The sequence below is a fragment of the Homo sapiens genome, chromosome 3, assembly GCF_000001405.40.
Source record: "Homo sapiens chromosome 3, GRCh38.p14 Primary Assembly".
Classification (NCBI taxonomy): Eukaryota; Metazoa; Chordata; class Mammalia; order Primates; family Hominidae; genus Homo; species Homo sapiens.
The window spans coordinates 166,100,558-166,128,321 of record NC_000003.12 but is presented as its reverse complement, the minus strand read 5'-3'; the positions used below and the strand labels follow the sequence as shown (position 1 = coordinate 166,128,321).

The following is a 27,764-nucleotide window of genomic DNA, read 5'->3' as shown; positions in this document are numbered from 1 at the left end:
AGCTCACCCAGAATGGGAAGTGATGTTGGGTTTATCTTTGGTTCAAGAGTTAGCCTCTGTTATTTAGAGACATTCCAGTCTGCTTTGCAGAGACTGTCTCCATTCAAAGAATATGACCTTTGAATATTCTTAAGGGATCAATAACTAATTCACTTCTGATAAGGGATCAATAACTAATTCACTTCTGATAAGATAAGTAATATTATATTCCCAATAGCTACTATGTCCTTCTTATTAGGACACACTTTCCGCTCTGGAACCCAAATGAACCAATTTAAACTTGAATTTATTAGCCAAAATTGTCATGGATAAATGCATAGCCTTTTATTTTGTTTATCTACCCAAGAAGGAAATAATTCTATAGCAAACACTTCTCATTGCACGTGTATAAATACTGTAGGTCACACAGAATAGTAGTTGTCTTTTGCTGGAGGACATCAACAGACATTTAGCAGGAAAGACAATAGAAAGTTTAATGATGTGACTGACATAATTACTAAAATAAACGTGTTTATATTTTGGTTTATAAAAGTATAACATGCCTACTGTGTCGAACCTGAGAAAATTAAAATTCCTTAATCCTACTATAATTCTAAAAAAAAAACATTTAACATGCCCAGCTGTATCCGTACAGAACCTGCCATTATCTACAACACCTGCTACCGTTCTTAGAAAAGTCCAAAAGACTGCCTAAATAAAAGGAATTTTTACATTACCCCTTCTTATTTTAATAATAGTTAAATTACATAAAACTTATATACATATAAATGCATAGGATATATTTTGATATTTAAGAAAACAACTATAGCATTTGTAGAAAGTTGTTCATCAACATGGGACTCCATTTGATAACAAAATAGTTATACACTCAGTCAGTTGCTGAAGGCTCACATACGGCATTATCATATAGCGTATGTTTAAAATATTATTAAAATTGTTTTCAAAATAAATACACTGCAAATAAATAAACATACAAATCAATATGGTTTGGATCTGTATCCCCACCAAATCTCATGTCGAATTGTAATCCCTAATGTTGGAGGTTGGGCTGGTGGAAGGTGGTTGGATCTTGGGGGCAAATTTCTCATGAATGATTTAGCAACATCTCTCTTGACACTGTACTCGCGATCCTGAGTGAGTTTCCGTGAAATCTGGTAGTTTAAAAGTGTGTGGCATCTCTCCCCTCTCTCTCTCGCTCCTACTAGTGCCATGTGAGACGTCTTGCTCTCGCTTTGTCTTCCACCATGATTGGAAGCTTCCTGAGGCCTCCCCAGAAGCAGAAGCCCCGTGCTTTCTGTATACTCTGCAGAACCATGCACCAATGAAAACTCTTTTTTTTTTTTCTTTGTGGTGCAGTCTTGATCTGTCACCCAGGCTGAGTGCAGTGGCGCGATCGCACCTCACTGCCTCATATCTAGTAGCTGGGATTACAGGTGTGCACCACCAGGTCAGGCTTTTTTTTTTTTTTTTTTTTTTTTTTTAGTAGAGATGGGGTTTTATCATGTTGGCCCGGCTGATCTTCAACTGCAAATGATCCGCCCACCGCGGCCTCCCAAAGTGCTAGGATTACAGGCATGAGTTATCACGTCGGAACCTCTTCTATTTTTAAATTACTCATTCTCAGGTATTTCTTTATAGCAATGCAAGACCGGACTAATACATAAAATATTCTGAAAAATACAGCTATTTAATGGCAAAGCAAAGGTATGTTATTAAACTATGTCTGAAATTATTAATGAACAGAAGTAAAAATCAACATATCTTTGTGTATCTATTATGTGCAAGATATTACTAAGCAATATCTGGAAATTAGTTGAAGATAATGTCAAAAAATATTTAATAGATAAAAATGATACAAATTCTTCTTTTTGTAAAAATTTCCTACTACGGAAATAAAATGCTTTTGTCAATAGTTCTCTGAATTGTAACACTGAAAATACATTTTTCTTGAATTTGTATATTAGTAAATATAAAATATATTTTTAAATGAGATAACTATTTTATATAAAACTAGGGAAATGCTTCATTTGAAGAGAAGTGAGATCACATTAATAAATGCAAGAAATCTTCAGAAGCAAATATTTTGGTTGGTCAAAGTGCTTTAGAGAAGACAAAATTAATAAAAACTCCCATAGCATCTCAGCTGACATAAGTCTGTGGGAATTCTTTTCTTGGATTTATTAAGCTTCTACAGATGGATAAATAGCAACATATATTTGCTAAAATCATTCTTCAAAGCCTTTAATCTCCAGAGTAAGGATGTGATATAAATTGTTGAATTTTCTTGAAAATGACAAGTCATTTTCATCCATTTAGCAAACAGATCCTTAAAAATAAGATAAAGGAGAAACAGAGAATACTAGTAATAAAATCCTTGAAACAATTGCTAATTTAAAAGTAGATGAGCATATTGGGCTTCGCTTCTTGGAGATGAGGTAGGCATACTTTTTCCTATTCCTTCCATTAAGCACAATTATTAACTTCGTGCATTACACATAAAGCAAACATAACAAAACTCTGAAAGGTAAAGAGAAAACGAGAGACCGGCTAATGAGCTCAGGACCCAAAGAGCAACAAGGTGGTGATTCCCGAGGGCTTTCCTTTGCCTTCTTATATTTCAAACAGGGAAACAGGCACAGATTAACTAAGATCCAAATAAAGCATGGTCTCAGTAGCTTTTCATGCCAGGAAAAAGAGAACTTACCAAGAAATAAACTTTTTAGGCAATAAACACTATTTATCCAAACACACACACACACACACACACACACGGTGCCACTGTAGCTCCACCTCTCTCCATGCCAGTAAAGGCCAATTGACGATTCCAGACTTTCTCTACCTCCAGGCTGTAACTAGGCTTCCCCAAATCCTCTCTAGGGTGGTATCAAAAAATCAGAGGAAGTTAGGACCTTCACCTCCACTAGGTGATAACAAGATCTCTCTTTTCCCTCTGCATTATCACTGGAGACCACTGGGGAGCCTGGTCTTACACAACACCCAGCAGTAAGGTGGTGCTGTGCCCTCTCTTCCTTGGGGATTCAGAAAAGACATAGTGGAGTGTAAGGACATTCACTACCACTCAGTCTTCATGGGATCACCTCACCTCTTGCTCTGGTTATGTCTGAGAAACAGTCATAGTCAAAAGTAAAGAGGAGCCAAAGGAGATGAAATGTAATATGGTATCCTGGATAAAATAGTGGAACAGACACAAGACATTCTAATGTAATCTATATAAACTATGGGCTGTAGTTGCTAATAACTGTCAATATTGGTTCATAATTATAATAATGTACACACCAATGTAATATATTAACGATTGGGGAAACTGAGTGCAGAGTATATGTTAAATCTCTGTACTGGCTTCTCAATTTTTCAATAAACCTAAAACTGTTCTAAAAAATAACATCTATAAAACACATACAGGTCCACATGCATATTAATATATACACAATCACCTTAAAGTGAAAAGGGAAAATTCTGAGTAGAAGATATTTGTAATGCACACATTCAATATAAGTCCCATATGCAAATGTATGAAGAAGTCTTACAAATCAATAAGAAACAGATAAATTATGTAATTTATTAAATGGTCAAGAGATGTCCAAACACTTTTTAAAAACAAGAATAACCAAATGGCAATAAACACAGGAAATAGTACTTAACCTTATTTATCACCAGTAAATGCAAAATAAATCCACAATATGATATTATGACACTCCAACAAAAATGACAATCAATGATACAGAAGAAACAAAAGTGTCAGAAAAGGGATGTAACAACTAGTATTTTTATGCACTGCTAGTTCAATGATTAAGTTGTATAAACATTTCGAAAAACAGTTTGACATTATCTACTACAGCTGAACAAATGAATATCCCAAGTCCTCATACGTCTACTCCAACAGAAATGTAAATGTGTGTTGACCGGTGAGGTGACTTATGCCTGTAGGCCTAGCACTTTGGGAGGCCGAGGCTGGCAGACCGCTTGAGGCCAGGAGTTAGAGACCAGCCTGGCAAACACTGCGAAACCCCATTTCTACAAAAAATACAAAAATTAGTCAGGGGTTGTGGTGTGTGCCTGTAGTCCCGTCTACTCAGGAGGCTGAGTTGGGAGGATGGCTTTAGACCAAGAGTTTGAGGTTGCAGTGAACCAAGATCACAGCCACTGGACTCCAGCTTGGGTGACAGAGTGAGATCTTGCCACAAAAAAGAAAAAAAGGAAGAAAGAAATATAAATGTGTGTGTGTGTATGTCTGTATCTATATGTGTATACATATGTATACATACTTACGTGTGTATATATGATATGCATATATTGACATACACAAATGTGTTCATAGTAGCATAGTGTTATTACCAAACAGGAAACTACCCAAATAGCCATTAAAAGTAGATCTTATAAATAAATTATGCCACAATCACACAAAAGAGTACTAAACTGTAATGAGAATGTCTACAGTGATACATGATAATGGTAATGAATTACACAAACATAAAATTGAACAAAAGAAGCCTAATGCATAATAATATAAATTTCAAAAGAAGGGGTTTTGCCTGTAGGGCTCAGACTATAAAGAAGCTTGGGCAAGTGAGATTCCTGAAGCATTGCTAACTTCCTGAAGCATTGCTAACTTTCTGTTTCTTGATCATGGTTCCAGAGCTTGCTTTGTGGACATTCATCTAGCTGTGCATCTATATGTTCATGTTTCTATATGCACATTATAGCTAAGTAAACCTTTAGAAACATAAAATGAGTTAGTTCCATATATTCTGACACAAACTTCCATAATACATTATGAAGGGAAAGAGTACATTGTGATATAGTATATTACATGATAAACCATACAGAAGGGAAAATAATGCTTTGCTATTGTGTTAGCATTCTCTTAATGATCACACATTTTTGTCATTAAAAATACTTTTTAGTTAATCATTTTTTTTTACTTATCTGTGCTCACATATGTCTACTTTATTACTGCAATATTATATAACTCTGTAAAGCTTTTTGAGGAGGAACCAGAATTACAAGTAAATAATGCATGCATTGTGAAAGAGGAAAACATTCCAGAGAATGCTTACTTTCTGCTCAATCAAGCATCTTATCCTGGTGTTATTATGCCAAAAATACACTTTTGAGACTTTGACAACTACTGCTTTTTTTGCATTATTCTTTTGGCCAAGTCAAACTGGCTGACTGATTCCCTCCCTACTTTCCTGTCTTACATATTTGCTCTCTCTACTTATTTGGGGAAAAAATTCCTTCCTTTATCACTTCTACATCCACCTGTTTATATTCTTTCAGTTTAAACTGAAATTGCTTCAGTTTAAAAATTATGAATAACATTCTCTCTGATTGTACTCTTTTCTTACGTAGTATGGGGAAAAATAATAATTTTCATTGAAGATATCTTCCAAATAAAGAATAGACAGCCACCTCAAGTTTTAACATAATTCTTTCCTGGAAATGTGATCTTCTCAAGGGAATATATTTGTTGACTGTTGTGATAATTTAATTCAGATAATAGAATTATTGTATTCTTTATGAGTATTTTACTTTTCACTCTTAAAAAAGGTTTTATGTACTTTTTTAGAATTTCATTTTCATGTCGCTTTATTTGATCTATTTATTAGTTTTTTTATTTTTCATGTTTTGGCTTATTTTTTGAAAGCTAAACTGGAATTGCCTGTATTTGAGTCAGAGCTTTATGCAATGGTTTTTTATAACCACTGTGAATTCATTATAATTTTCTTGAGAATTTTCTACTTGAATAAAAACATATTGTTCCCCATATACCTTGGATTTTTCCACTGTTTCCTAAGCCTAAAATATCCTTCTAACATGTTTTTTCTGCCTAACAAAATTCTGCAAGTTTCAATTCAAAGGTCATTTCTCCATTAAATTTTGATCTTTCAATCAAAATTGATGACTTCTAGAATGAAGGAATTCTAGATGCTCCCCCATAGCAACCTGTCAACTGCTTTTATACAATAGATTGTCAGTCATTTGAAAGTCTCCTGTATGTTCTACCTTAACCCTACCCCCATTCACCACATACATATATACATATATGTACATACACATTTACATATACACACATATACTACAATATTACCGTAATGCTTGGTAAGTCATAATATTCACTCTGTGTTTTTTTATTGTATTTCAGTTGTTCAGATCATCTCATGTACTAAAAATTAAGTACATAAAAAATAATGCTCAGCAAAATTTTTCTTGATATACCTATCAAGATAAAATGCTTTTCATAGCATTTCCGGAACAACATGAAATAAGAAATCATTAAGATTTAGATTAATTTGTATTGATTAAAATAGTCTTTTTTAAAGGCACAATTAGATATCTACGTTTCTTCTGACCCAACTCTATTATTGCTTATTACAATATTTATTGTTATGTAGGAAATCATTAAGAAAAACTTGAGTATTTCCGAATTTATCATTTTTATTAGACTTCAATTGATGTATAAAATAATAGTGCACAAAAATATTAAATCAATTCAATTTGAATCTAAGATTGGTTTATGTTATCCATGATATCACTAACTACATAATTAGAAAAAATCAGCTAGAGTGTCTCAAAGAAATTCAATCCCACTTTTATCTTTAAATTAATCCAATTTTTATTTAGTACAATACCAACTCATAATTATTTTAAATGAATATTATAAGTTCATAGATAAGGGAATATCAAATAACTTCCCTGGAGTGGTAAGTTTAAAAGAAGGCTCATCTGGACTTCTTTTAAACTTTTATAAGTGACTGTATATATAAAGTGATTTAACAAATAATTTAAAGGTATAACAAATTAAAAGCAAGCTTTTCTTATGTACACGCATTATTGGGCAGTTTGAGTAATTTTTATGTATAGCAACACTTTCTATCAAGTCTTCTGTGTAATGTTGTCAATATTAATGAAAATGTGTCCTAAAACAAAACAAATAAAATATGATAAATCAAACCCATGGATAGAAAATAGCACATTTTAACAATATTAGCCACAAATATACATATATATATATGTATATAGCTAGGTATTTGAACAAATCGAGAGATTTTGTATATTAATTATGTGCCTGAATTACTCTATCATCTGATTTCTAAAGGAAAGTAACTTTCTGTATTTTAGAATTTGTTGTGTCAAAATTAATAACTATACAAAAAATTTGTACTTTGCTTTTTAAGTAAACCATCACTGACCAATAATACATGGCAAAATAAATTGAGAATACAAAAGAAAGAATGAATGGTATTCCCCCTGAGTAGAAATTATTATTTTTGCAATATGATTAATGATCTGTATAGAAGAAAAAAAGATTTACCTTTTCATCCAAATGGAAATTTTAATGGCTTATAGCTGCAATTACATGTATAGTGTATGATACTTTTGTATTCTTGGGTCACCATACCAAATGTTAAATAAATAAAAGTTTCTGAACTTTCATTAAATGCAGAAAATTTTTTGCCTGAGTTAGTGAGCTCCTTCTGATTTCTAGTAAACTATTTTTCTTCAGTTTCACAAGTTTATTCAATATATCATTTTCAAGTAAATTCACCTCCATTGCAATAGAGTATCTTCTCTTTTATCAAAATCCTTCTTTCAAAGTTTTCCATGTTTTCAGATTTTGGGGAGGACAGAAAATTAAATTATCTTATTGATAAATAAATGATAATGTTTATAATTGTATAATAGATATCTATCTAAACTCAAATATTATATTAAGTGGCGATCTCTGTATCTTAACCCTTAGAAATGACTAATGATGGAAATTTAGTGACAGAATGAAGATGAAAATATTTGGTAGAATGCCTATTCAAACCTAGGCTTAATTAATACAGCTAGGCAAATGACTCACCTTATCACTCCAAATAAGTTATTTGATTGTTTCCTTATCTATTAAACTGTAATAGTCATTTAAAAATAATTGTTAATTGGTATTGTACTAAACAAAAATTGGGTTTATTTAAATGTAAAAGTACCAGTGAAAAATATCAGATTTAGATTTGAAGTGAAATAATTGAGTTGAAGATAAAGACTTGTAAATACACATTTTTTTTCTTTTTGTCCTTTGCATCATTTGTGATCAATGCTCTGCTAAGCTGAGTTAATCTCTGTTTTGCACTTTGCATTTTATGTGTAAACAGTAACAGCTGATGTCCAGACTAATTCACATGAGGGTATTTGACCTATTCACAAATAACACAACAGCATTTCGGTACACATAAAACACTCTCCCATTGCATTTATAAAGTAATATAGAAAAGTTGAGATTGCATGACAAACACATATTTACAGGCACACCTCAGTTCCAGATCACCAAAGAAAGCCAAGATTATAAAGCAAGTTACAAAAATTATTTGTTTTCCCAGTACATATAAAAGTTACGTTTATACTGTACTGTAATCCATTAAGTATACAGTAGCACTATGTCTAATAAAAGTGCATACCTTAATTAAATAATACTTTGTTGCTAAAAAATGCTAATGATCATCTGGGCCTTCAGTAAAACACAGTATTTATTCTGGTGGGGGCATCTTGCCTTAATGTTGATGGCTGGTTTTTTGACTGATTAGGGTAGTGGTTACTGAAGGCTGTGGTGGCTGTGGCAGTTTCTTAAAATAAGACAATAGTGATGTTTGCTCCATTGAGTAACTTTTTTTCACAAAAGGTTTTCTGTAATATGTAATGCTCTTTGATAGCATTTTACTCACAGCAGAACCTCATTCTAAATTGTAGTCAACCCTCTGAAACCCTGGCACTTCTTCATTAACTAAGTTTATGTAATATTCTAAATCATTTCCACAAGGTATGCAGCCTCTTCACAAGGAATAGATTCCATTTCAAGAAACTGCTCTATTTGTTATATTTCTTTAACTATGAGAAACCACTCTTTATCTGTTTGATCATGATATTGCAGCAATTCGGTCACATCTTCAGGCTCCACTTCTAATTTGAGTTTCCTTGCTATTTTTACCATGCCTACAATTACTTCCTCCATTGAATTCTTGAACCATTCAGTCATCCAGGAGGGCTAATATTAATTTCTTTCAAACTCTTGTTATGTTGATGTTATCTGACAGGAATCACAGTTTTTGTAATGGCATCTAGAACGATAAATCCTTCCAGGTTTTCTATTTACTTTACTCAGATCCATCAGTGGGATTACTACTATCTATGGCAGCTATAGCCTTACAAAATGTATTTCTTAAAAAATAAGACTTAAAAGTCAACAAGACTCCCTGATCCATGGACAGAAGAGATGCTGTGTTATCAGGCATGAAAACAAATTAATTACCTTGTACATCTTCATCAATATTCTTCAGTCACCAGGTGCATTTCCAATGAATGGTAGTATTTTGAGGGAAATATTTTTGTCTGAGTAGTAGGTCTCAATAGTGGGCTTAAAATATTCGGTAAACAATGCTGTAAACAGAGGTGCTGTCATCCAGGCTTTGTTCTTCCATTTATAGAGTACAGACAGAAAAGACACTTTTATACTCTTGGGTCACCATACCAAATACAAAATGAATAAAATAATTAGCATAATTCTTAAGCATGCTAGAATTTTTTAAATACTAAATGAGCTTTGGCTTCAAGTCAGAGTCACCAGGTCCATTAGACCCTAAAAAGAGTCACCCTGAACTTTGATGCTTTGAAACAGGCATTGATTTCATCTCTAGAGTTCTGAAAGTTCTAAATGGCATCTTCTAATATAAAGCAGTTTAATCTACATGGAAAATCTGAGATTTTTTTAGTGTAGTAGCTGCCTTTGTCCATTATCTTAGCTAGATCTTCTGCATAACTTGTTACAGCTTCTCCTTCAGTACCTGCTGCTTCATCTTGTACTTTTATGTAACGTAGGTAGGTAGCTGCTTTCCTTCAGCCTCATGAACCAACCTTTGTTAGATCCAAACGTTTCTTCTGCAGCTTCCTCACCTTTCTCTGCCTTCATAGAAGTGATGAGAGTTAGAACCTTGCTCTGGATTCATCTTTGGCCGAAGGGAATGTCATGGCTAGTTTGATCTTTTATCCAGAACACTCAAATTTTCTCCATATCAGCAATTTCAGTGTTTTGCTTCCTTTTCATTTGGGTGTTCATCAGAGTAGCACTTTTAATTTCCTCCAAGAACTTTTCCTTTGTATTCACAGTTGGCTAATTGTTTGGTGTAACAGGCTTACCTTTTGGCTATCTCAGCTTTCAACATGTCTTCCTCATTAAGCTTAATATTTCCAACTTTTGAATTAAAGTGAAAGACATACAAGTCTTGTTTCACTTGGACACTTAGAGGGCATTGTGGGTTTATTAATTGGCCTAATTTTAACATTGTTGTGTCTCAGGGAATACAGAGGCCCAAGAAGAGCATGAGAGGCTGAGAAATGCTTGTTGGTAGAGCAATCAGAGCACATACAACATCTGTATTAAGTTTTCCCTCTTATATGAGCACAGTTCTTGCAGCCCCAAAACAATTATAATAGTAATGTCACAAATTACTGATCACAGATCATAATAACAGATATAATAATAACTTAAACATTTGAAATATTGCAAAAACCACCAAAACATGACAGAGACACAAAGTGAGCACACGCTGTTGGAAAACTAGCACCAATAGAATTGGTTGACACAAGGTTATTACAAACCTCCATTTTATATAAAGTGCAATAGCAGTGAAAAGCAATAAAGCAAAGCACAATAAAACAAGACACATCTGTACTTTAAAACAATGTTTCAGAAAACAGTATGGAAATTCTATAAAATGGTGTATATATCTGCATGCCTGTGTTAAAACATCTCATGTACCACATAAATACACCTACTATGTATCCACAAAAAATTAAAAGTTAAAAAAATTAAAAATCTATAAACATTTAAACCATAAAGGAGGGCAAAAATTTTGCATTAGTTTTAAACATTAAAGAAAAGTGTTATATGAGTCTAAAAATAAAATACAAACTGTGATGGAACTATATTCACAAATGTATTACAAAAAGACAACTTGTCTATTATTTTTTCATTATTTATGCTTTTTATAAAAGAATATCTATGAAAACATTGAAACAGTTATGTAATATTTAATCTTTCAATCCCATTCATATTCTCTATAACTCTTCATGACATTATTCAACTACTGTTAACTATGAGAATTTAAATAATCCTTTAGAGGTAGCTTAGGTAACAGAAAGTATCTATAATAAACTCCAAGAAGTAATATATTGGATTTCTAAATTATAACTTTAAGGAATCTAGTGGTGCACTAAGAATAAAATAATTATAGATTATACATTATCTACTAAATTTGTTATAAAAATGTTATATGCCTTTATCTGTCATTTACCACTGGCTCTTCTTTTGTCACTTATAATATTTCAAGGAAATTTACCACTAATTCTGTATGATCTAAGCACAGTACTTTATTTACATAAAATACTTATCACAAAACTATAAACTAAAACATATATTTTAATGTGAAAAATGAAAAACTGACTTCCAAATTTTCTAAGTAAAAAAAATTTATTTTACCTTACTGAAAAATGAATTTGCTTTAACGTGCTTATAAAACTAAAACAATAGTGAGAGAGAGAAAGAGAGAGAGAGGGATGAAAAAGAAAAACCAAAACCAAAATAAAAAATTCTGCTGGTGATTTATATTTCATTATACTAACTATAAAATTGAGAAGGGTGTGAGCATGACCACCAAAATCAAACTTTGTTATCATTCCCAATAAATCCCTGTGCATCTTTATAGACACTCCATCTCCTGGTAACTACAGATGTTTTGCGACCTTATTTTATTACCTTTTCTAGAATGTTATAGAAATGAAATCATACTATATGTAGCCTTTCAAATATGGCTGCTTTCATTTAACATAAGGCATTTGATACTAACCGATGTTATTGCATTCATTAGTAGTTTATTCGTTTTCATTCCATTATATAAATACAATTATTTGCTTATCCATTTGTCAACTAAAAGACATTTGAGTAGTTTATAGTTTTGTAAATTGTAAATAAAGCCATTACAAACACTTGCATAGTTATTTTTTTGTTGTCATATCATTTGCATACTTTGCTAAAAATAAAATTGCTAAATGGTATATGAATGTTTATCTTTAAGAAACTTCCAAACTGTTTTAAAATGTTGCTCTACCTTTATGATACATAATTACTCTTTATAATAAGCAGTACTTGGTATTGTCAGTACTTTTATCCTGTTTTTTTGTATTACTATTTTAATGAGGTCTTTAGTGGTAACTCCTAGTGGTTTTAATTTGAATTCATAAGTCTTGTATGCTATAGTGTCTGTTGAAATAATTCTGCCATCTTTTAATGGGATTGCTATTACCTTTCGGTCATGTTTTTTTATGTTCAGGATAAAAGTTCTGGATGAGATTTTTAATTTGTAATTATTTTTCTCATTTTCTCACTTGTATTAATAGTACGTTTAACTAACAGAAGTCCTTAAATCTGATAAATTCCAATTTGTCATTTTCTAATTTTATGGAATGTGCTTTTGGTTATACCTGAGGAATTTTTGCCTCACCCATGGAAAAAATCAGTTTTCTTCTTTTTTTTGCTTTCTAAAAATTTTATAGTATCATATTTTACATTTAGGTTGGTAATACACATTCAGTTAATTTTTGTAAATGATGACATGTACAAAATGATATTACTTTTGTATATTAAACTGATTTATTACAATTTGTGGAAAAGACTATCTTTTCTTCATTGAATTACATTTGAATATTTGTTGAAAATCAATTTCAACTTGTTGAAAAATCATACACTTGTCAGTTTAATGCTGTACTCTTAATTACGTTTCTTTAATGCCGTAGTTTCATAACTAGTTTTAGAACAAATCTTTGAATTGAGTCATCTGAGTCAAATAACTTTGCTCTTTTCCAATAACCTTTTGTTATTATGTTTTCTTTGTCTATCAATGTAAATTTTAGTGTCAGCTTTTCAATTTCTATAAAACGACTGCTAGAATTTTGGTTGAAATTGCATTGAATCTGTAAGTCTTTCGAAGAAAGTTGACATTTTGAGTTTCTCAAACCATGAATTTGGTATCACTCTTCATTTATTTAGATCTTCGACTTTTTCATCAGTGTTTTAAAATCTTAGTTTACATAATCTGCATGTATTTTATTATTATTATTGTTATTTATACCCAGGTGTGGTGGCTCATGCCTGTAATCCCAACACTTTGGGAGGCCGAGGTGAGCGGACTGCTTGAGCTCAGGAGTTGAAGACAAGGGGCAACACAGGGAAACTCCATCTCTAACTAAAAAAACAAAAAGTAGCTGTGCATGGTGGCACACACCTGTGGTACCAGCTACTAGGGAGGCTGAGATGGGAGGATCCCTTCAGCCCCGGTGGCACAGGTTTCAGTGAGCCAAGATCAAGCCACTACACAGAAGTCTGGGTAACAGAGTGAGACCCTGTGTCAAAATAAATAAATAAATAATACAATTTAAAAATTGAAAATTAAAAAAATAAATAAAAGACCCTGGCAGATTGCTTGAGTCTCTCAATATGTAATATTCCTGCTGTCCCTTTGCTTTCTGCCATGAGTGAAAGCTTCCTGAGACCTCATCAGAAGCCATGCAGGTATAAGTGCCATGCTTGAGAAACCTGCAGGACCATGAGTCATATAAACCTCTTTTCTTTATAAAGTACTCAGTCTCAGGAATTCCTTTATAGTAACACAGAACAGACTAACATGAGGTATAAACAGTGCAGCTATATTGGAAGGTAGAAAAATGCAACTGCTTCATTTTTTTTCCTGTGATTTTTTTTAATGGACATATAAAGACTTTTTTTTTTCAACTTTCTTTTAAATGCAAGGGTATATGTGCATGTTTGTTATGTAGGTAAATTGTGTTATGGGGTTTGGTGTACAGATTATTTTGCCACCCAGGTAATAACCATAGTATTTGATAGGTAGATTTTAGATCCTCACCCTCCTACTATTATTAATTTTGATGCAACTATAGATGTTCCTTTTTGGTAAATTTTATTTCCAATTGGTCACAGATGATATTTAGAAATGTGATGAACTTTCAGATATTGACCTTGTACGTTTTTACCTTGCTAAGTCATTTATGAGTTCTAATATCTTTGGTTATTTAGAATTCTCTGTGTAGCAATCACATTGTCTGCAAATAGTTATAGTTTACTTCTTTTTTTTTTCTCATTTTGTAGTAGCTTGACTTTTGGCACAATGTAGAATAAGAGTGGTGAGAAAGGCTATGCTTCATTGTTTCTGATAGTAGAGGGTGAATATTTAGACTTTCAGCATGGCTAAATATAGGATTTTGTATACACCTTTATCTGGTAAAGGAAGTTCCCCTATTGTCCTAGTATTTTGAATGTAGTTATTATAAATAACTATTGAATTTTATAAAATGTTTTGCTTCTTCTGTTGAGATGATAATGAGTCTTCATCTTTAATTTGTTGATGTTGTGAATTGCATTGATTGAATTTGAATGCTGAACCATTCCTAAGATAATGATATTCCTAGGATAATTTCCATTTGCATTATATTTTGGATGAATAATTTCCATTTGCATTTTATTTTGGACACATGATTATATTCAAAATCTAGTATATGTTGTATGTTTGAGAATTTACGCTCATGGGGTACATTGGTTTGTAATTGTAGTTTCTTGAATTGTCTTTACTTTGTTGTCAAGTCAGATTAATTGCTTTGTTCCATAAAATGAGTTTGGAAGTTTTGTCACTTATATATTATGGAAGAGTTTGTGTACGATCAGTGTAACTTTTTCATTAAATGTTTGGTAGTGTTTGTAAGTAAACACAATGTAGTTTCAAATTGTCCTTATTTAAATGTTTTAACTACAAATTTTATTTAATGTCTGAAACATGTATGAAGTATTTATGTTTTCTGTTTTTTCTTGATGTATTTTGGAAGTTTTTGTCTTTCAACAATGCCACCATTTTATCTAGGTGGTCAAGTGTGTAGTGCATTGCTATAAAACTGTTTGTAGAGTAGTGATCTTTTAGTAACTTTCAAAATATTTGTACCAAATTTGATTTCTGATACTTGTATATTGTATCTTCTCTCTTCCCACTGCCTCTCCCCTCAACAAACCTTGGTCAATCTGGCTAGTGCTTTATTACATTTATTGATCTTTTCAAAGAACTAATTTTTGGTTCCATTTTTTCATGATTATTTTTCCATTCTTCATTTTATTGCTTGCTGCTCTTATCTTTATTTTTTTATTCTCCTGCTTTTTGTTTAATTTATGTTTTGTTTTTTACTATGCTAATGTATAAAATTAGATAACTGATTTGAGACTTTCTTCTTGTCTTCTTTTCCTGCATTGCTATAAATTGCAATGTGAGCACCTCTTTAGCTGTTCCTTACAAATTGTGTTCTTATTTTCACTGCATCCAAATATTCTCTAATTTTTCTGTGACTACCTATTTAACCAGTGGGTTATTGCAGCATACAACTGTAATTGTGTTTTTGTGTATTTGTTAATGTAATTGTATGATTTATGCTTAATATTATAATTTATGATTAATATAATTTATGCTTAATTTTAAAACTCATTCGTTAGGTGTGTATACATTTAAATTTGTTATTTTTTTGTGAATTGTATCCTTTATCTCTACGTAATATCTTACTTTATCTCTGGCATTATTACTTCTAAATATCCTTTGTCTAATACTAATATAACCACTCCAAGTTTCTCTTGATTCATGCTTGCATGTTTTATTCACCTGCAGCCTTTTACTTTTAACTTATCTATGTTGTTCTATTTAAAGTTCATTTTTGTAAATACATAATTGTTTGATTTTGCTTATTTGATATATTCTTATACCCTGTGTTCTTTATTTGGTATACTTAGGCTGTAACTACAGTTACATTGTATTAGAATCTGCTATCTATGTAGTTATTTCTTTATTTATCCCAATTGTTTTTTTGTTTCTTTTTTCCCTCTTTTTCAGCCATTTTGGGAGTAATAGATTTTTTCCTCAGTCCATTTTATATTTATTTTTGGTTGATTTTTATACTTCTTAAAATATTAAATATATAATATATATTTTTAACTAATGGCAATCTTATTTAAAATATTGTCTCATTTTGTATTTAGTTTAAGGATCTAATTTGTATTCTAGTTAAGCAAGAAATTTTAGCTGAATTCTTCTAACTGGTTTTGTTGGTATCTGGCATTGTATTTAGTTTAAGGATCTGAAAATTGTGTATTCTCAATTGCCCCACCATCTTTTGTGCAACTTTTGTTATGACTTTACTTTTACAAAGTTATAAACACAAACTTAATTGCTATTATTTCTCCTTTAATCTTTTTTTTAATTTAATATAAAGACAGGCTTGGTGGCACACACCTGCAGTTTCAGTTACTGGGGAGGCTGAAGCGGGAGAATAGCCTGGGACTAAGAGTTCAGTGCTGTAGCATACCATGATCCCACCTGTAAATAGTCACTACACTGTAGGCTTTGCAACAAATATAGCAAGACCCTGTCTCTAAAATAAATAAATAAATAAATAAATAAATAAATAAATAAATAAATCTTTAAAAAAATACTTCGCATTTACCTTAATTGATGACAGTTTTAGAGCTCTTAGTTTCTTCATATAAATCCAAGTTTTTTTTCTGTATCATATTCCTTTTGCCTGAAGCAGTTGTTTTAATATATCTTGTAAGAAGTCTGCTATCTTCTCACAGCTTTTGTATTTCTGAGAAAATCATGACTTACCCTTCACTTTTGAAAATGAGTACGGGATTCTTCATTAATCATTTTTTTTCTGTTGAATATCTTCAAGAATATCAGTCTTGCCTTGTGGATCATACAGTTTCTGATGATAAATTGGTACTTCTCATTTTGATCCTCTGTATGTAATGAATTTGTTTCTCTTGATTCTTTAAGATTTTCAACTTCTCATTAATTTTTAGCTCTTTGAATATTATGAGCTAAGGGTGTTTGTTTCTTCATTTGTTTTATCCTTTCTAATGTTATCTGAGCTTGTTGGATCTTTGTTTGGATGGCTTTTAATAATTTTTATAAATCCCAAACATTATATCTTCATATTTATTCTTTTTCTCTTCTCAAGTTTCAAATTTAGTTACACCATTTAAAATGCATTTTCCATGGCTTTGTTTTTTTTCTCACTTTTAATTTCATTTTGCTTCAGTTGAGTACTTTCCATTGGTCTATCCGTCAGTGTCCCTGTTTCCTCAATTGTGTTGATTTGAGAGTCAACTCAAAGGCATTTTTTATCCTTTTTACTGTGTTTACATTTATATCATATTCATGTCCTTCTTATTATCCTCGAGTCTCAGCTGATAGTAGTCATTTCTTTATGCATGTTGTTCATCTTCACTGTAACATTTAACACAAAAATTATATCTATATTGAATCCCCGGTTTAATAATTCCAACACCTGGATCATTTCTGAATCTGATTCTTTTGATTGCTCTATTTCTTGACAGAGTGTGTTTTAATGCTTGATCCTCCACAGTTTAATTATTATTGGCTGACTGTCAGATTTCTTTTGTTTGACAGTAGAAATTATAGTATATATTTTTTATTCCTGAAAATAGACATTCATTTTTTTTTTCTAGTGTGGGATGTTTATTCAAGGAAACCTGATCTAGGTTTCAGATTTTTTGTTGCTGCAGTTACTCTTAGGGAACAACGGGCTTTAAATTTCTCTACTGTTACCTGGTAGTTAGATTACAGCAGATTTTCTATTGGGTTTTCCTCAACGTTTTCTCCATGCTCAGTTTAGTATTCTCTTTACACCGATGATTACAAAATTGTCTCTGCTTTCTCCCCTCCCCTCCTCCAGCAGTCAATTGCAGTTTTCGTTTGTTTCATTTTTCTTAAGTCGTGCTAACCTTTTCTTGGACATGCTGTTTTGTTGTTATTGCTCAGCATGTTTTGTCTTGTGGATAAGACTTGCTCATTCATCTTCTTGCCCCTCCTCCCATCAGTAGATGGTTCTTAATTATCTAAGGCTTTCTCCTGATTGCAACAGGTCTATACCTGTGTTCTGTGGGTGAGGAGGTTTGACACCCTTCCCACTGTGGCTTAAGGCCTTTTTTGTCATATGGGAGGTAGAGGAAAAGGGGCTGTGTGAGGCTTCATGCTATCTCCACAGCCGTTGCTGTTGTTCTCCCTGAGGCTTGAACCACAAGGGTAGATTTTGCTCATCTCTGGCATTGACGCTCATCTTTCTGGCGTGCTCCTAGAGATATTTTTAGAGAAAAGCCTGAGTAGGTGTATGGACACCCCTTTGGTATGCAGCTAGTAAATGTTCCACTCTCATACTAATCCAAATAAATACTGTCTTCAGCAATTGGCTAGAAATTTTAGCTGAATTTTTCTAACTAGTTTTGTTGGTATGTGGCATAAATAGCCTGTACATACCTTCCTATGGTTGAAATAAACTAAAAGTTATCTGTTTCCACCTTGTCATTTAGTAATCAGGGTTCTGAAGTTTACAATGATACATTGATGTAATTCTAAAATGTAGGTCTAGCTATTGTTACCTATGTCCAATATTCTTTCAATTTTTTCCATGTTAGAGACGTTTCCTAAGGAAAATGTGTCTGTCTTTTTTCATCATTGTACCTTTAGTCTCTCGAAGTATGTCATGCATAAAGTGGATGCTCAGTTAACATTTATTTAACGAATGCTTCATTCTGCCAAATACTCTTATCTCATCATTAAATCTAAATCCCTTTAATAATGATTTATGAGGGCAGGTGCGGTGGCCTATGCCTGTAATCCCAGCACTTTGGGAGGCCAAGGAGGGTGGATCACGAGGTCAGGAGATTGAGACCATCCTGGCTAACACGGTAAAACCCCATCTTTACTAAAAAAATACAAAAAAAAAAAAAAAAAAAAAAAAAGCCGGGCATGGTGGTGGACGCCTGTAGTCCCAACTACTCCGGATGCTGAGGCAGAAGAATGGCTTGAACTTGGGAGGCGGAGTTTGCAGTGAGTCGAGATCGGGCCACTGCACTGCAGCCTGGGTGACAGAGCAAGACTCCATCTCAAAAAAAAAAAAAAAAATAGATTTATGAATCTCAGTGAATAAAGTATAACAAATTAAAACAAAAGGGGAAACACAATAGATATGATTATCTTACTTATAGGCAGAGCAAGATAGTTTTCTACATGTGTGAGTAGTTGAAGTACTTTTGCCCCATCTCCAAAGCATCTGCTAATATCTCCATTCCATGAATGGACATTTTTGTTTGTTTGTTTTAATATATTTCTTCAAACATATTAAACAAAAACATCCCCTAGAGCAGAATAAATCATAAAAAAATTAAGTTACATTAATTAAGTTTATGGATCCAGTAGAAAAAAACAAAGTGAAGGATATTAGGAAACTTTCCCCAAAATATGGCACCCTGGTATGCTATTTTTAAATTAAATATCCTTGAATGTTATCTGATGCTGAGCAAGGCTCTACTCTATTATGTTATCTACCTTAAGACTAGTGCCTGCCAAACAGAATACAATTGCCTTCCATACACTCCCTAAAATCTTATCTATCTATCTAACTATCTATCATCTATCTATCTATCTATCTATCTATCTATCTATCTATCTATCTATCTGTGTGTGTGTCTGTCTGTCTGTCTGTCTATCAATCTATCTATATTTAGAAAAAGAAGACTAAGGAATGGAACTACCCCTGGGCAGACATTTTCACAAGATAATATCTGCCCCTTGGATTCATTCAAATTCCAAAGGGAATCATTCAAAAGTTAATTTCTGTCTCTGGGCCCATTTCTTCTTCAGAATAATCACTATTTTTCAAAATAATTACTTACATTCCCCATCTCCCTCCTCCCTTATGAAGAAGGGTATATAAGCTTCGTACCTCATTGGGTTATTGGATAATCATCCTTATGCAGTTACCCCATTCTTTTGCACATTAAATCAATCTGTATGCGTTTTCCCCTCTTTATCTACTGTCAGTTTGTTTTTAAGAAACTTTGAGAGGGCAGAGAGGATGCTTTTCTTTGGTTCCCACATAATCAATAGTAACAGAAGAGTATTGTCAGTTATTGGGATTGAGGATTGGAGTGAAACATGAATGAACTTTTATTGACTATGTAGGATATATAAGTGCAACTTTTAATGTATTTCTTTAGTGTTAAAAAAAATAAATTAATTCCATAGTCATGCTTTTTATAAATGAAAGAATTTCGTCCTCAGAAATGTTTGGCAATTTGCCCTAGTTACTACATGGAGTGAATGAGTAAACCAAAATTCATAGCTGCTTCAATCATCTTGTACTTTTCCACTAGCTAAAATGTCTGAGATTAGCAAAATAAAAATATAGAAAGGAAAGTAAACAGATGAGATTTCGAATATTGCTCTCTGTCACTGGGCTACAAGAAAAATGATGATGTAAGGATACACTTTTAGATACTGACAGGTTGAGGGTTTTTGTCATTCTCTTTAGACCCATTTGAAGTAGAACAGTGAGAAGCAGGTTATCATCACTTTATTTAAGCTTCATGACGTACTTTAAAAAGAAAACTTACTGGAAAATGGCTTCAACAAATAAGCAATCACTTCCATTTTTATGTGTTAATTCCTTGTGGCTACAGAATAATTTTGACTGGCCATTTGGAGGTTTTGGAGACCTTCGTCTAGCACCAACTGAATTTTTAAGAAATTCAATTCTTATTTCCTTCATACATAGTCATAGAAAAAGAAGAAACTACTTACAAAAGGGATTTTTAAAAATATATCTGAGAATAATAGACTTTTCTTTTGATCTTTTGAATAAGTAAGCTTGTTACCCTCTTCCCTTTCACGTAAAAAAAGTGAAGTACTGTATTGTTAATCATTTCATGGACTGTGACTACTAACATTCTTTAATTATCTTGTTAATCAGTGTAAATGTCACTGGTTAAAATATTCATACACTGAATCTATGTCATCCATTAGTCCAATTAATTAAACACTTGAAGTTATTTATTGATTCATAAAAATAAGTGGATACAGTTCATATACTTCTATAAAATTTACTGAATTAAAATTTTGTATACGAGCTATATTTATCTTCCCTTCACTTTTTCACCTTCAAATCAGAATATTTCAAATTTTTTGATGTTTCCATTCCCTTTATTTTACTTTACTAGTCATCATTATAAAAACTGAAATCAATTTTTACTTTTTTTTTTTTTTTTTTTGAGACAGAGTTTTGCTCTTGTTGCCCAGACTAGAGTGCAATGGCGCCATCTTGGCTCACTGCAACCTCTGCCGTCAGGGTTCAAGTGATTCTCCTGCCTCAGCCTCACGAGTAACTGGGATTACAGGCTCCCACCACCATGCCCAGCAAATCTTTGTATTTTTTCTTCTTTTTTCAGTAGTGGCGGGATTTCACCATGTTGGCCAGGCTGGTCTGGAACTCCTGATCTCAGGTGATCCACCCGCCTCAGCCTCCCAAAGTGCTGGGATTACAGGCATGAGACACTGTTTTTACTTTTGAAGTTAAACAAAACAGGAGCAACTGTGGAAAAAAAAAAAAAAAAAAAAAAAGTCTTGCCTTTACAGAGCTTGCTTTTTAATGAAGGAAGGCAAACTGTACATTATAAAGAGGGCAAACAAGTAGATTATACAGTATGTTAGAAGTTAGTAAGTGATATGGGAAAATAGAGATCAGGATGAGGAGGAAAACAATTTAAGTAATTTAAATGAAATGGTCAGGAAAGACCTCATTAAGAAATAGGGAAAGGACCAAAAACTGCTATTGCCTTCACAGATTTCCTCGGAACCGAACTCCTTTCAGTTTCCAAACACTCCTCAATATCTCCTGAATCCTTGCTGAACAGAATTTCTTCCATACTTTCAGGCTTTTAGAAAGGATATAGAGGCTCGACTCTAGGATGACTGGCTAAAATCCACAAGGCAACGAGCTGTAATCTCTTGTAAGTGAACTAATGAAAGAGGAGAACTATGGAGAGAAAACACGAAGTAATATTTCAACTAATAATTGGAAATCAAAGTTTTTTACTCCCGAAAGTGAATAAATTTAACTTAATAAACACATACAGTGATAGTTACCATTGACACAATTATTCATTAATGTGGAAGAAAACTGTAGGCTTTAGCATGTCATTTTATATAGTATGTATTGGGCCAGCAATAAATTGTCAATTATTCTGATTTTATATACTTTTCAATTTCAAAGGATCAAGAAGAAATAGTGTACATTAATATCCTGTGGAGTCCTCCAAAGATTCAATTTTAAAGTTGTTTTCTCTGCAAACTAGTGTCCTGCCCTAAATAATAGACAAACCATTTAAATAATTTGAACTTTAGCTTTTTTAATATAGTTATAAACTACTTTCTCATATTTTACCTGATATTGAAAATAATGTAATTTACAAAATCATATTTTATTTTCAAAACACACCCTATCGCTCAGAATACAATTTTAAAACTTCTTTCAAATGTACAAAACAAATGCATTTTTATTTGTAAAATAATATATCAAATACATCATCATACAATTTCATCCAAACCCTAGTATTCAAATAAGCAAATATCTTTACTATGATAATTTATTACCTATTTCCCCTTAAATTCACCCGAGGAACAGTTTTATTTTTAAGAAATTAAGAGAGAAATAATTATATATTAGCTCTATTTTTATATTGATAATATTTTCCGTTATTTGAAAAACTTTGAATTGCATGAATCCATATTATATCATTTTAATAGTTAAATAGCTAAAACTAATAGAATTTTATATTTCCAGAATATGAATAAAATAGAAATTTTGACTGTTTAAGTTTGTTCTAGTAGTCCATCATTACTAAAATAGACAACTTCATTTAAAAATATGTATTTATATATCACCAGTACCATAAAACTTATTCTAAATTATGCTACAGCTATGTAAACAAGTTAGACATCAATTGTATCTTTTATTTTTTGTGAGGAGGGACAGTGTGTGAGTACTAAAAATCCTCTTTGGACTTCTTGTTTTTCTGTATTTCTTGCTGAGTATGCTAAGAATACAAGGCCCTGACCACTTTTCACCTCTGCCATTTTGTAGGGTGTGTGTGCAGTAACCTTGGGAGATGATGTATTACCAGACAAAGAGTATGTTTGCTTACTGCTTGATATGAAAGGAGTAGATCCCCTAGGTCAGTGTTTTCCCTCAGCTGTGAAGCAAACCCATTGTAAATGCAATATCCACCCAGGCTGCTTCACATGGCCCTTGTGAGACTTGGGGACAAAGAGAATGGATAGAAATATGTTCATGATGACTATAGATGCTTTGTGTTCTGGAATCAATAAAATCTCTTAACTCTAACTCAGGAGTCTCTTGTCTTCTGCCAGCATATGTAACAGCCGCAGGTTAACATATTAAGTAGTAAGTAGGATCAAACTAAATCCCAGATCCAACAAAGAGCAATATATTAGATTGGTGCAAAAGTAATCTTCATTACAAAAACTGCAATTACTTAAATAACTGAGTTATTCGAAAAAGATTAGGTAGAAAATATAGTTCCTTTCCAAAATTTATTCATTCATATAACACACATATTCACGAATACAAATACACTGAGGAGATGCCAGAATTCTGTCTAACATAAAAATGTCTCTTTAATTTAGAATTCCATAAAGTGTTTTATTTTTCAGATACATTATATCATGTTTTTATACAAAATGAATAAGTCACAGTTTTAGAAATCTGTTTTCTTGTATAAAATAGAGTTCAATTCAGTAATTCCATAGCATCTGAGAAATCATTCTGTATAAAGAAAGCAGTGTTTGGCAGTATGAACTTATGATAATTCACATGGTCAATCTAATGTAAATTCTTAGTCAATATATTTTTTTTAATGACAGTGTCTTACTTCCTAGGCAGAAAAAAAAATGAAGTCCAGTTCTTTACTTCAAAATAATTACAATGAATTGTTGTCAAAATAAATCGAAATAATCACTTTGGTCTGCTGTTTGATATATGTGAGCTAAAGTAGGCCTTTAGTTAAAAAAAAGGAAAATTAAGTTTATTTTTACAAAAGGTATCTTAAAACACTTAATTTTTTTCTTAATCCTTTATTATATTCTTTCTAAGATGCACTGAGCTGTTTCAAATGGAAGACAGCACACAGAGGGAGCTTGCGTAAATTCCAGCTTTTTCATTCAGCTGAATTGATTTTGGTTTTTATAACAAGGACCCATAATATTAGCCACCATGGACTGGCTTTTATGTTTTTTTATAGTTACTATGGTATTTTCATTTTCTGTAATAATGATAAATATGGCAAAACCCACTTTTAACACTTTATGGGACAGAGGGAACTGTTACAAAAGTAGGAAAGAATAAAAAGAAATAAACAAGCATGTTGCCTAAGAACTTTAGTAGCCTGGTAATAATAACATGTACTAAAATTGCAACTCATATTTTTAATAAGCAAAAGTATAAACTCTTAAACTGTAAAACTACCACAAGAGTAAGCAGGCATCGTCTAGCAAGGATATTTATACTTTTATGCCGATACTACAGCTAGAGGACAATTGAGTAACAAAAATCAACTATAGAAGAAAATGCTCTTGCTCAATAAAATAAGTAATTGAGTAATAATCGAGCAACAAAGTTAACCATAGAAGAAAATACACTTGCTCAATAAAAATAATCAGCAATTCAGCCAGAAAATGTTCATACTGCCCACATAAATTGCAAGAGGCCTGTGAAATCATACTCCACCTGTCATTTAGAACTTAGAACTTAGCATGTTTTACTGGAATTTTCTCTGCTAAATGATAGAGGCAGAAATAAATTCTGAGTACAAGTCTAGGTCATTAAGTAGCAAAAGCAGAAATGATAAGTTGATACAGAACTTAGATGAGAACCAGAAGCATTTAAAATAAATCAGATAGCCTGGAATTCCAGTTATAGTGTACAGTTTATATATTGACATTTTAATAGCAGAGACAAAAATGCCCAATAACCAAATCACTTCTGATATTTCCATCAAAGTATGAAAGAGTATGTATGGGGTGTGAATGTTCACATAAGTAACTGGTGAGAAGTGGGACCAGGAGAGAAATGGTAGGGCTGGTAGTAAATAGTGAGTGAGAAAAAAAAGAAGGGTTATGGCAATAATGACCGAACACCCTTTTGGAATGCCGTGTTAGATTCTTAACTAGCTAATATTTTCTTAAACTCATGACAAGCTCCTCATATTTTTGGTGAATTTCTGAAGACATCTGAAAGCAGAGGTAACTTTCTAGAGTGACTTTATATTTGAGACAAATTATATTTGTTACAAAATTCAAGCATATCTCAAGATATACCTAAAGCAATATAAATGCAATTAATAAAGTATGCATAATAAATATACAAATTATAAGTATTTATGACTACACTTGCCAGCTAAATAATTTCTGCAACTGTTGCATCACTTAGATTACGAGTATGATATTTCATTGTGGTGTGTGTGCCTCTTACTACAGTTGTAAATTTAAAAATATATTGTTTTAGGCCAGGCGCGGTGGCTCACGCCTGTAATCCCAGCACTTTGGGAGGCCGAGGCGGGCAGATCACGAGGTCAGGAGATGGAGACCATCCTGGCTAACACGATGAAACCCCGTCTCTACTAAAAATACAAAAAATTAGCTGGGCGTGGTGGCGGGCGCCTGTAGTCCCAGCTACTGAGGAGGCTGAGGCAGGAGAATAGCATGAACCTGGGAGGCAGAGGTTGCAGTGAGCTGAGATCATGCCACTGCACTCCAGCCTGGATGACAAAGCGAGACTCCGTCTCAAAAAAAAAATTGTTTTAATGTATGTTAAACATACATATAGACTCACTGACTCTGTGATAACACTGTTGTTATTACATAGAAGGTTCAGAAAGTATTTGTAAAATGAATGTTGAGAAATGGATCTGGGTAGAGTGATAAAATGTATAGGGGACCACTGTGAGAGAGCATTTGCAGAACTAGAAAATAAAGACCTAGCTGCGGGCTACGCCCGTCCAAGTGGCTATCAATACCTTAGTATGGAAAGCATATGAAAATTCTCCAAGGAGCTTTTTGCTTTATGTGGCAGTAACTCATTTTATTTCCACATCTTAGATTTTTTTTAACAAATTGTGCTAGTTTCTATTGCTTCATTCATTTTGTACTATAGTTCTTTTCACTAAAGCATCATTGACTTGTTAATAGAACTCCCACTGGAATTTTAGGAATTAACTTTGTTGAAGTTTGGTAAAATTTCATATGGACAGTATAGTGTTAGTAGTTAAGAACATCAGTTTTGAAGCTACATTGTCTGGGTTCAAATGCCTTTCTGGTTTTTTCCTAAGTATGTGAATATGCATATTAAAATAGCAGCTACCATATAGGATTATACTCAGGATTATATAAGTTAATAAATGCAAATATTTGGCAGATTCTAAAAAATCAGCGAAGGTAAAAGTTCCTTATAGTTGCCATTATTTAATAATGTTATAAGAGAGTATATTGGCTTAAGTCCAGTACAAAATATATTCGTCCCTAACATATGCTTAATAGCTCAAAATTTGCTTTAATAGTTGCTTTTCATTTAGTTAATCTCAGCATATTCATTATATAATAAAAAAGAAACTAAATTATTATGAATTTAGTTCTACAGCTAAAATCTAGGAACTGCTCATGAACTTTATAATTCTATGGTAATTGAAACCCTCCAATATCCCAGAGGAAAGAATCTTTGATATTACCAAATAGAGGTAGCTGAGCAGTTTAGCTCTCCTAAGGTCCATGATGACATTCTAACGACGTCAACAGTTTTCCAAACTGCCTGACCAGACATCATATGGCTACCAATGTTCTACTTGAATAAACAAACAAATAAAATGAGTCTTGGGTCATGACAGCTTTCTAATAATTGTAAATTCCAATATTTAAAAATAAACACAACTTTTGAATAAGATCAACAGCTCTCCACTCATGGCCATGAAAATTGTCCATAAAATTGTACAGCATTGTATTTTCCCCTTCAGCTTACCTAAGCAGCTAGCTACTTGCTGAGTTTCCAAGCATTATCCCTCTAAGAATTTTTCCTTGTTGGGGACTCTTCAGTCTTCAAATAGTGACTCCCAAACTTATGAAGTTGAACATCAGTACTTGCGATAGGCTGAAGAAATACCTCCCAAAGATATCCATTTCCTAATCCTTAGAACATTTGACTGATACCTTATATGGTAAAAGGGACTTTGCAGATAAGATGAAATTAATGATATTGAGATGGAAATATTACCTGAGTGGGCCTGATATAATCATCATGGTCCTTTTAAGAAATAGGTTGAATATCAGAGAGAAAAAAAGATACTGTGATAATAAACAGATCTGAGTCATATAGCCAGAAGCCAAGGATTGCTGGTAGCCTCAAGAATCTGTAAGAAGCAAGGAACTCTTTCTGATAAACCTTAATTCTAACTCCATGAGATATGCACTAGACAACTGATCTACAGAAGAGTAAGAGAGTAAGTTTGTGTGTTTTAAGCCGCTAAATTTGTGGTAATTTTTCATGTCAGCAATTGAAAACAAATACAATATTTTTCTTTATATATATTTGAAGAGAGCAAATGGGGTAAATTTAAGAAGGAAAATGAAGTGCCTCAAATGTTTGTGAGGTTAAACTTGTATTTCTAATCTATGAACTTTAGGAAGGGCTTCAAAATGTAAATTTCAGTTCTCAAAAAAGGCTTTGTCTAGAACATAAGT

The 27,764-nt window shown here is 32.5% G+C and overlaps 1 long non-coding RNA gene across 1 annotated transcript in view; it reads right to left on the bottom strand.

The window, feature by feature from the left end:
* The window catches only part of LOC124909497 (uncharacterized), a 69,072-nt gene extending 42,278 nt beyond the window's left edge, over positions 1-26,794 (bottom strand). Inside the window, exon 1 of the long non-coding RNA XR_007096287.1 lies at positions 26,759-26,794. This is a non-coding gene — a long non-coding RNA (uncharacterized LOC124909497). The remainder of the gene's footprint in view (positions 1-26,758) is intronic.
* Between the last annotated feature and the right edge of the window lie 970 nt (positions 26,795-27,764).